The sequence below is a fragment of the Homo sapiens genome, chromosome 9 (assembly GCF_000001405.40).
Source record: "Homo sapiens chromosome 9, GRCh38.p14 Primary Assembly".
NCBI lineage: Eukaryota > Metazoa > Chordata > Mammalia > Primates > Hominidae > Homo > Homo sapiens.
The window spans coordinates 33,372,008-33,382,902 of record NC_000009.12 but is presented as its reverse complement, the minus strand read 5'-3'; the positions used below and the strand labels follow the sequence as shown (position 1 = coordinate 33,382,902).

The 10,895-nt window shown below is 52.4% G+C and overlaps 1 long non-coding RNA gene across 1 annotated transcript, besides 3 other annotated features; it reads right to left on the bottom strand.

Moving 5' to 3' along the window:
- Window positions 1–688: 688 nt before the first annotated feature.
- LOC124902142 (uncharacterized) lies at window positions 689–8,161 on the bottom strand. The gene is made up of 2 exons (XR_007061462.1): window positions 6,927–8,161; window positions 689–1,112 (listed from the first exon to the last, which is right to left on the bottom strand). It is a non-coding gene; the product is annotated as an uncharacterized LOC124902142 (long non-coding RNA).
- Window positions 1,100–1,698: an enhancer, noted in NCBI's record as "NANOG-H3K27ac-H3K4me1 hESC enhancer chr9:33381203-33381801 (GRCh37/hg19 assembly coordinates)". NCBI's record gives its function as "activates a minimal SCP1, AML or CMV promoter by ChIP-STARR-seq in naive H9 embryonic stem cells {active_cell/tissue: H9 hESC(naive)}" and the evidence as "EXISTENCE:reporter gene assay evidence [ECO:0000049][PMID:30033119]".
- Window positions 1,699–2,299: an enhancer, noted in NCBI's record as "H3K27ac-H3K4me1 hESC enhancer chr9:33380602-33381202 (GRCh37/hg19 assembly coordinates)". NCBI's record gives its function as "activates a minimal SCP1, AML or CMV promoter by ChIP-STARR-seq in naive H9 embryonic stem cells {active_cell/tissue: H9 hESC(naive)}" and the evidence as "EXISTENCE:reporter gene assay evidence [ECO:0000049][PMID:30033119]".
- Window positions 9,783–10,283: an enhancer, noted in NCBI's record as "H3K27ac hESC enhancer chr9:33372618-33373118 (GRCh37/hg19 assembly coordinates)". NCBI's record gives its function as "activates a minimal SCP1, AML or CMV promoter by ChIP-STARR-seq in naive H9 embryonic stem cells {active_cell/tissue: H9 hESC(naive)}" and the evidence as "EXISTENCE:reporter gene assay evidence [ECO:0000049][PMID:30033119]".

Below are 10,895 nucleotides of genomic sequence, written 5' to 3'. Positions count from 1 at the left end.
ACACCTGCAACAACACAGAAAAATTCTGGAGGCATAAAAGGTAATACAGTAGCCGGGCGTGGTGGTTCACGCCTGTAATCCCAGCACTTTGGGAGGCCAAGGCGGGTGGATCACGAGGTCAAGAGATCGAGACCATCCTGGCCAACATGGTGAAACCCTGTCTCTACTAAAAATACAAAAATTATCTGGGTGTTGTGGCACACACCTGTAGTCCCAGCTACTCGGGAGGTTGAGGCGGGAGAACTGCTTGAACCTGGGAGGCGGAGGTTGCAGTGAGCCAAGATTGCATCACTGCATTCCAGCCTGGCGACAGAGCTAGACTCGGTCTCAAAAAAAAAAAAAAAAAAAGAGCCTGGTGTAGTTGGGCACCTGTAATCCCAGCTACTCAAAAGGCTGAGGCAGGAGAGAATCCCTTGAACACGGGAGGCGGAGGTTGCAGTGAATGGAGATTGTGCCACCGCACTCCAGCTTGGGTGACAGAGTGAGACTGTGCCTCAAAAAAAACAACAACAAAGTAATACAGTAGACTATATACAGTGTGACACCAGTCTTGTAGCTGAAAAATAAGCAAAAATACATTCTTTGCTATATATATGTATGTAAGAAAACTATTTTAGAAAAAGAAATAATTCCTACAGGCAGATGGAGAGGAACACAGGAGTAGTACAAACTATTAATAATTTTCTAGTTTTGGGTTTGGACATTTGCGGGTTTATTACATGATCGTGCTTGATAACATATAAATGTGATACATATTGTTTGTATGAGATATATATATTATATATATATATATATATATATATATTTTTTTTTTTTATGGAGTCTCTCTCCCGTCATGCAGGCTGGAGTGCCAGTGGTGTGATCTCGGCTCACTGAAACCTCTGCCTCCTGGGTTCAAGCAATTCTCCTTCCTCAGCCTTTCAAGTAGCTGGGATTACAGGCATGCGCCACCACGCCTGGCTAATTTTTGTATTTTTAGTAGAGACCAGGTTTCGCCATGTTGGCCAGGCTGGTCTCAAACTCTTGACCTCAGGTGATCCACCCGCTTCCGCCTCCTAAATTGTTAGGATTACAGGCGTGAGCTCCACCGCCTGGCCAGTATGTAGGTATATCTAAAAACACAAAGAAGGAATAGCTGTAGTGTGAGGACGGCGGAGTTGGGGGGCGGAGTGGGGGGCGCCAGGGGGAGGGGAGGGGTAACAGGTGGGAGCCTGGTGAGATCACAGGGAATCCAGGGAGGATGACTGTATCTGACGTCCCACGGTGGGAGGAGCCGAGCCAGGGGAACCAGGGCTGGGAGTGACCAGGGAAGGGCCCACAGCTGGAAGTCCCCAGCTGTACAGTAGCCTTCCTCGGTAACCTTCTACAAGCCCCTTCCCCCCTCTCACGCTCAGTGGCCCTGTGAGCCTTTCTCATTGTTGGCATTCCAGAGCAGCATGGTCCCAAGGCCTCAGTTACAGCTTAGAGAGGCATATACGGGGCCCAGGGTTCTGGTTCCTACCCTCCTCTGTCCCTCCCTGAGCACTTCAGCCCTCTGGCATCCTCCTGTCCCTGGGAGGGGCCCTGGAGGCAGGGCGGCCATGGGTTCATACAGAGCCCCCACCTGCTGTCCACTGCTCTGCCACAGGCTTGCACTAGGCCTGTTGCCCCTAACACCTTGCAGTTTCTGGTCCCAACGTCAGGCTCAGATGAGCCCTGACCAGTCGCAGAGCAATCCTTTCCATTCTCTTGGCAGGTATCAGGTGAGAGCCCCCAACGTGCCAGGCACCATTCCAGCATTGAGGACACAGGCGTAAGGAAGATAAAAGTCCTTGTCCTCATGGAGCTAGCGTTCTATGTAAAATATATGGCATGTTATAGATGCTATGGAGAAAAAGCAGGCACAGTGTCTAGAAAGTGTGGGGAGGTGTGAAGAGAAGATGGCCTCACTGAGAAGGTGACTTTGAGTAAAGACCTGAAGGAGTGAGGGAGTGAGCCATGTGGACACTTGGGGAAAGAACATGCCAGGCTGAAGGAACAGCCAGTTCCCTGAGGGGGAGCTGGAGGGGCCATGGTGCTGGAATGGAAAGAGGAAAGGGGAGATGTCAGAGAAGTAAAGGGGATGGTGGGTGGACTGAGGCCAGGCCTTGGGGAGAGATGAAAACAAGGGTTGGGGCAGAGGTGAGGGAAGTCTCTGGAGGAGAAAGGCAGGTCCTTCTTCAGGAAGGAAGGAAGGAAAGAAGGAGAGAGGGAGGAAGGAAGGGAGGGAGGGAGGCATTAGGATAAGGTGGGGTGGGCATCATAGCACCTTGTGGGTCCCTGCTCTTGGTTTTGCTGTCACGCACACACGTGCATGCACGCACACACATGCACGCACATGCATGCATATGCATGGTTCCTCCTGTAGATGGATCTGTGCAGCTGTGGGACCCAGGCTGGGACATGAGCCATGGGAGCACTGGACCCTCTCCCATTCTCCCAGTCCCAGCATGGACTGGTTGTGTGACCTGGATAGGACCCCTCCACTCTCTGGGCCTCAGTTTCCCCATACAGAAGGCTTGGATCTTTTGGTATCTGGGGAGCCCCCCAGCTCTTCTTACAGCACTTTGAAGCCTCACGTCATGGCCCCACTCCCAGGCCAGGCCCATCCAGGGCTCTGCAGATGAATGTATGGTCCTCAGCCTGGTAGTCCCAGCTTTGAGAGGAGCCCCTTACCCTTGCCTGGCCTGCTCTCCCATTCAGCTCCAGGGATTCCAAGGGATACTGGCAGCACCCTGGTCTGGCTAGTCTTAGGTTTCCTCCCTCAGATGGGGTCCTGCCGCCTAGGAAGAGGTGGGAGCAGCCACCTCAGGCCTGGCCTGGTGCTGGCACCCTCAGTGTGAAGAGGCCGGAGTCACTCCGAACAGCACAGCTGCTCCACACCCACCTCTGTGCTGATCTTACAGTAGGAACAGTGAAACTCAGGGTGACCCCGGCCCTCCTGTACATGGCAGGGGCTCATACTCTGGCACTTAGCACAGACAACGAAGCCAGCCCGCCCGGATCCAAATACCGGCCCTGCCACTCACTAGCCGTATGACCTTAGGTAAGATAATAGCTCCCACTTCACAGCGCCACTGGGAGGATGACACGGGCGATGCCTGGCACATGGGAGTGTGTGTGCTGCTGTCACTAAGCACCCTCTAAAGGGAGCTGCATGTCGTCATGCACATCTGACACACAGGGAAACTGAGGCTGGGGAGATTGGCTCAGTAAGGGGCAGAGAGCAGGAATTACAGCCCTTGTCAATGTGCCCGTGAAGCCTGTGCTTTCACCCAGAAACCAAGGAGGTGACCTTGGCTAGTTTTTGTTTGGTTTTTATTTTATTTTTTTATTTTTTGAGACGGAGTCTTGCTCTGTTGCCCAGACTGGAGTGCAGTGGCGCGATCTCGGCTCACTGAAACCTCTGCCTTCCGGGTTCAAGTGAATCTTCTGCCTCAGCCTCCTGAGTAGCTAGGACTACAGGCATGCGTTACCACGCCCGGTTAATTTTTGTATTTTTAGTAGAGACGGGGTTTCGCCATGTTGGCCAGGCTGATCTTCAACTCCTGATCTCAGGTGATCCACCTGCCTCCGCCTCCCAAAGTGCTGGGATTACAGGCCTGAGCTACCACACCCAGCCTTGTTTGGTTTTTAAACTGTGTATTAAGTATATTTTGTAAACATGAGTATATATAACATATAGGTATAGTTAAAATAACAAACACACAAAACAAAACTACAGATAAAAAAAAAAGGCCGGGCGCGGTGGCTCACGCCTGTAATCCCAGCACTTTGGGAGGCCGAGGCGGGCGGATCACGAGGTCAGGAGATCGAGACCATCCTGGCTAACACGGTGAAACCCCATCTCTACTAAAAATACAAAAAATTAGCCGGGCGAGGTGGCGGGCGCCTGTAGTCCCAGCTACTCGGGAGGCTGAGGCAGGAGAATGGCGTGAACCCCAGGGGGCGGAGCCTGCAGTGAGCCGAGATTGCGCCACTGCACTCCAGCCTGGGCGACAGCGAGACTCCGTCTCAAAAAAAAAAAAAAAAAAAACACTCAAGTGTGCACCCTGAACTTTGGGCAAGTGATTTAACTTCTGTGGGCCTCAGTTTTCATACCTCAAAAATGGGATAATGGGGCTGAGAGGAACTGAGATGCTTCAAGTTTAATTCTTGACACTGGCATTCCCTTGTGACAGAGCAAGGCTGGGTGGAGTTTACCAGAGCTCATGGTCTCTCCTTGTCTCTGCGGTCAGGAGCCAAGGTGGGGGTTCTGGAGAGGATGCTCTGGGCCTAGTGGGAGGGCCTGGTGAGTCGAGGGTGGAGGCTCCGAGGCTGGGTCAGGGGCTGAGGGAGAAGACATACAAAGCTCACACAGATGAGGCCCCAAATTTTGGGTTGATCCTTTGAGTCCTCCAGGGACCCAACCAAACCCTCACTGGCCAATGAGGAGAAGTCCTTAGATGGGGGTTGCAACAGGCCCCTGGAAGAGCCCCGTCAGGGCTAGCAAAACTGTGTTCTTGCCCTCCCCAACCCTCGCCATTCCCCAAGCCCTGCCTTGGCCTCTGGTCCTGTGCCAGGGGATATGAGATGATAAACTTCTAAGGGAAAGGGAGACTCAGTTTTTGGGCGGAGGAAGGCCAGTTGAAGGTGCCCTCCTGGGCCCATCCAACCCTTTCGCCCTGCAGAAGTCTCTGATGTGGGAAGGGGATGCCTCATTTTAGAGGCCCTCCAGAGCCCCGCTGGAAGGACTCCCTCTTTCCCCACCACGCCTGACCCTCAACCCAGTGCCTACCCCAGCTCTCAAGGAACTTCTCACCCATACCAGGCAGTCTTGTTCACCAGGGACAGGGGTTAGGGGGGCTCCAGCTAGAGGGAATGGCAGGAACAAAGGCACAGAGATTGGAGCCCCAGGCTGCTCAGAGTGGCTGCAGAGGAGTGTCAGGCCTCTGAGCCCAAGCTAAGCCATCATATCCCCTGTGACCTGCATGTATACATCCAGATGGCCTGAAGCAATTGAAGATCCACAGAAGAAGTGAAAATAGCCTTAACTGATGACATTCCATCGTGATTTGTTTCTGCCCCACCCTAACTGATCAATGTACTTTGTAATCTCCCCCCACCCTTAAGAAGTTTCTTTGTAATTCTCCCCACCCTTGAGAATGTACTTTGTGAGATTCACCCCTTGCCCGCAAAACACTGCTCCTAACTCCACCGCCTATCCCAAAACCTATAAGAACTAATGATAATCCCAGCACCCTTTGCTGACTCCTTTTTCGGACTGAGCCCGCCTGCACCCAGGTGAAATAAACAGCCTTGTTGCTCACACAAAGCATGTTGGTGGACTCTCTTCACACGGATGCGCGTGACAGGGAGCAGGCAAGGTAGGGAGTGGCTGGAGGTGCTTAGGGCCAGGGTGGGCAGCGGGGACTTTCATCTCTTAGAAAGTCAGAGAAGAGTGTTAAGCCAAGTCATGGCAGAGCCAGATTTGTGCCTGAGAAGAGGCCCTTTAGCCCTGTGTGGAGGCTGAATTGGAAGGGGAGGGACTGGAGGCAGGAGAGCAAGGAGAGGCAGCTGAATTGACACAGCTGGTGAAGGGTGGGGGAGAAGAGAGGATGACCAGATAAGAGATTCAGAAGCTGGAAGTTATGGACCTTGAGTCGGCTGTGGGAAGGGTGGAAGGTGTTGTCCAGGGCTCTGTCTAGGAACTGGGTAGGTGGCAGAGACATCAGAAGACAGTTTGCGGGGGAAAGATGGCTGCGGTATTGAACATGCTGAGTAGGAGAGGCTCGTGGGACATCTAGGGAAAGCCAGGGATCTGGGCTGGAGACAGAGCACTGAAGCCCAGCAGTGGCAGTTGAAGGCTTGCAGGTGGACGAGGTGGCCCAGGGAGAGATTGCGGAGCCCTCTAGAGCACCCATATTGGGGGATAAGAAAAGGAGAGGAAGTCGGCCGGGCGCGGTGGCTCACTCCTGTAATCCCAGCACTTTGGGAGGCCGAGGCGGGCAGATCATGAGGTCAGGAGATCGAGACCATCCTGGCTAACACGGTGAAACCCCATCTCTACTAAAAATACAAAAGATTAGCTGGGTGCGGTGGCAGGTGCCTGTAGTCCCAGCTACTCGGGAGGCTGAGGCAGGAGAATGGCGTGAACCCGGGAGGTGGAGCTTGCAGTGAGCAGAGATTGCACCACTGCACTCCAGCCTGGGTGACAGAGCAAGACTCCGTCTCAAAAAAGAAAAGAAAAGGAGAGGAAGTAGCCAAGGCTCATGGCCTCCTTTGGCCCTGGGAGCCTGAACACTCTGAGGCCTTAACTGACTATGTGCCCTGGGGCCAGGCCCTTCTCTCAAGGGGTTCAGACAGGTCAGGATAAGTGAGAGAAACTCATCCTCTCCTAGGCAACCTGGAAGAAAACCCTAGAGCCCCTCACCCTACAGGACTTCCTGTAGCACTGAGTCCTGCAGCTTCAGCCCCTGTCTCTGGCTTTGGACATCTCTAACTTTCCCTGTTCTCAGCTTCCTGCCTTCAGGATGAGGGTGTGCCCGGGGCACAGTTGTCTTTGGATATCTTCTCTTTCACCCTCCTTCCCTACATGGTTTCACCAGCCTTTAAATACCATTATAGGCGCCATTAACAGCTCCACAAATTAGATTTCCAGCCCAGTCCTGCCTCCAGACTTCAGACTCCCACGCACAACTGCCTACTGGACAGATTTTCATCCCCAAGCCTGCTCCTCCCACAGGCTTTCCTATCTCAGTAAACAGCGCACTCAGTCTTCCAATTGCTCAGGCCAAAAACTTTAAAGTCATCCCTGACTCTCCGCTCACTCTCACACCCCACGTCCCAGCTGTCGGCAAAAGCTGTAGGTGTTAATCTGCAACATGTATCCAGAATCCAGCCACTCCTCACCGCTACAGCACTGTTACCTTGGTTCCAGCCAGTGCTGCCTCTTTCAGACTATAGCAGGGGCCTTCTGGTCTTCCAGCCTCTTCCCTTGTTCCCACTCAGCCCTGTGGTCTAGTCTCAGTACAGCAGCTGGCATTACCCTTTAAAAAATGAGCTAGGGGGCTGGGTGCGGTGGCTCAAACCTGTAATCCCAGCACTTTGGGAAGACAAGGCAGGCGGATTACCTGAGGTCATGAGGTTGAGACCAGAATGGCCAACATGGTGAAACCTCGCCTCTACTAAAAATACAAAACTAGCCGGGCGTGGTGGTGCAGGCCTGTAATCTGAGCTACTCGGGAGGCTGACACAGGAGAATCGCTGGAACCCAGGAGGCGGAGGTTGCAGTGAGCTGAGATCATACCATTGCACTCCAGTCTGGGGGACAGAGCGAGACTAGTCTCAAAAACAACAGCAACAGTAACAACAAAAGCTAGCTTCATCATTCACTCCTTTGCCTTAAACCTTCCCATGGCCTACAAAGGCCCACCCTATCAGGTTCCCTTTGTTACTGTTCTGAGCCCTGCTACTTCCCCCATCAATCACTCCCCTACAGCCTGACGGCCTTGCTGTTCCTTCAAGTTGTATAGCGCGCTGCCACCTCAGAGCCTTTGCAACGGCTTTCCCTCTCTGCCTTGAATTTCCTTCCGAACTGTGTGCGTTTTTTTTTTCCCCTGGTGCCCATACTGTGTATATCAACTAGCAGAGAGAAAATAATATTAAAAAAATGAAAATGTGACAAATTTTGAAAATATTGGTTATAAACTCTACTGAAGAGTTTTAAATAAAGAGAGCTTTCCTGAGGCAAAGTGTAAGCGTTCCTCCACCCCACCCCCAGGCTCCAGGTTTAGGGATACATACTGCACCCTAGTGGCCACTGGAGAAAAAGCCCTGTCTTCTAGAGCAGGAGTTGGGGATTAACCGGTGTTTCCTGCTTTGGGACATGTGTAAACTTCCCTCCCCCTTGGACTGACCTGGGCCACTCTGCCCCAGGAACTCCAAGAGGAGCTGTACAAATGCTCCAATTCCAAGGCAGTTTTAAGACAGTTTCAGGGGCAATTCACAGCTCTTGTCAAGGACACAGACCTGAGAGGAATTTCAGATCACCGGTTGTTTGCTGAGTGATCTTCGGCAAGTGACCTAACTTCTCTGATCTTTAGTTTCCCCTCTAGTAAAATGAGGATAATAAGAATACATACTTCATGGGGATTTTTTTTTTTTTGAGACATCTCTCTCTGTGGTGTAGGCTGGCGTGCAGTGACACAACCTTGGCTCATTGCAGCCTCAAACTCCTGGGCTCAAGCAATCCTCCCACCTCAGCCTCCCGAGTAGTTGGGACTACAGGTGCATGCCACCACAACTGGCTAATTTTTGCATTTTTTGTAGAGACGGGGTCTCACTTTGCTGCCCAGGCTGGTCTTGAACTTCTGGGCTCCAGTGATTCCCTCCTGCCTCAGCCTCCCAAAGTGTTGGGATTACAGGCCTGAGCTACTGCACCTGGCCTTTGTTTTTTTGGAGGCAGGGTCCTGCTCTGTCGTCCAGGTTGCAGTGCAGTGGTACAAACGTGGCTCACTGTAGCCTCCTGGGCTCGCACAACTTCTGGGTTCAAGCGATTCTCCTGCCTCAGCCTCTTGAGTAGCTGAGATGTGTGCCACCATGCTGGTTTCATGGGGCTTCGAGGAGTAAGAGATGGCTGTGGTGCTCAGCACATATTAAGCGCTCAATAGCCGTTACGTACTGTTAAAAAAGGTTCTTGGGAAAATGTGAGCAGATGAGGACTTTCAACTCCCTCACTGATGTGTCAAGCTTGAAGCTAGTGAGGGGAGTGTCAGTGGGGGTGACCAAAACCTTGGCCCTTGTCTAAGCAGCTTGACTACGGCTCTGTTCCTTTCCCTCTTCCCCAAGAGCTATTCTCTGAGAGCTGTACCAGGTATGGGCTCCAGAGGTTTGACTGTGCTGAGATGCCACGTGGCACTGGGAGACTCTCCTGATCTCTGACCCTCATTGTCTACCCACCACCCTCAGGACGGCTCTGGGAAGCACATGATCAGGAACCATTATCTCACCTGACAGATGCAGAAACTGATGCCCAAACTGCCCAGGGACAGAGTGAGCTGAGGCAGCAACACAGACATCCTAGCTGTCCAGCTGGATTCTCTGCAGACAGCTCTCCCAGAAGGCTGTGCATTATGAAGAATGACCTTGCAAAGCCTGGGCTGAGGGGAGCCTGGGACACTGGCAAGGACTTCCCACTGAGCTGTGTTTGGGGAAGCCAGGAAGAAAAACAGCTCCCCTTGTCCTGAGGACTCAGCCCCCTCCTGGTACAGGATGTTTCTAGTGTGGCAGTGTGACCCCAGGGAACCTGTTCCTTCTGGGCTTGGCCTTTGTAGGCTGAGGGACTGACATGGCCTAGAGAAGCCCCTGGCTATCCTTGAGCCATGGGAGATGGTACGGGACATCTGTGTTGAGGCCATGTGGGAAGTTAGGGAGGCTGAACTTTCCAATATTTGTGTGTGAGGAAGGCTAATGAGGAAGGCAGGTCTGCCATGGTGAAGGAGCTGGCCTGGCCGTCCCTCCCCGATTTTAGAAGAGGAGGCACATCAGCAGGTTCTCCTTAGGGAACAAGGTCTCCAGGCTTTCAGGCATAAAGAAGGAAGGCCAGCACTACACAGGAGGGATTCTCCCCCAAACCTTAATCTATAGGACTCAGTGAGCGAGTCTTTGCCCTTCCCCCTCCCTCAAGACTGACACTCCTCCTCCTCCTCCTCCCCTGCCACCTTCTCTGGCCTCTCCAAGACAGGATCTAGGGCTGTGGCCAACAGACCTGCAATTAGGAGGGCCTGCTCTCATCTCCACAGTCCCGCACACACCCACTATTGCATGCCAGGCAGGTAACACTATTGAGAACAGCCGGCCCTGCCAAACAAGCCAGAGGGAATTTCAGAGAGAAGAATTTGGTCGCTGGAAAGCTCTAGCCCATAAAAACTCTCCTGCTGAAAGAGAGTATGGGAGCAGGGAGAGAAGTTACCACCTGATTCTCAGGGAGCAACAGCTTGGGGTCCTGGTGCCCTCCCTCCATGCATGGGGTGGTGGAGGCACAGGGGTCTTCCCGTCTAGCTCATGCTCCTGTACACTCTTGTCCAGTGCCACTGCTCAGTGAGGAATCCACCAAAGCTACAAGCAGCAGCTTCCCCTTGCTGAGGAGACCGGGGGTCTCCCCTTGGTGATATGAGGGGGGCTAGTTCTCCCGCTAACCTCTGGCATCCAATCCTACCTCCCTGATCTGAATCTCTTCCCTCTTTGCAGTGCCAACCCCCATCACCCTCATTTTCTCTCACCCGGATCACTTCTGCAGCTTCCTGGCTGAGCTTCCTGCCTCCAAGTAGCCCTCCAATCCCTTCTATACTCTTCTGCCTGAGGGACTGCTCCAGAACAGGGTGGGTAAAATAAAGTCCCTGGTCAAATCTAGCCTGCTGCCTGTTTTTGCACAACTCATGAGCTAAGAATGGTTTTTATGTTTATAAATCGTTGGGGAAAAAAGTCAAAAGAATATTTTGTGACATAAAAATCATATGAAATTATTTCGGTGTGCACAAATAAAGCATTAGAACAGAGCCTTACTCTTTTCATTTGCATATTGTCTACGGCTGCTTTCACACTACGATGGCAGAGTTGGATAGCTGCAACAGAAACTATAAGTCTCACAGTCTACAATATTTACTATCTGATCTTTTTTCACAAAACATTTGCTGAATCCTGGTCTAGATCCTAAATCTGGCCATGCCACTCTGCTTAGAATTCTTGTCACTCCCTGTGGCTCTCCACGAGCTGACCCCTGTCCACCTGTCCAGCCTCATCACCTGTGCCCCTAGTTGTCTGCCTGCTCTGGACAACCCTTACTCAACCATTCCCCCAGCCCTGTCTCCTGCTGTTTACCTTCTCTCAGCATGGGC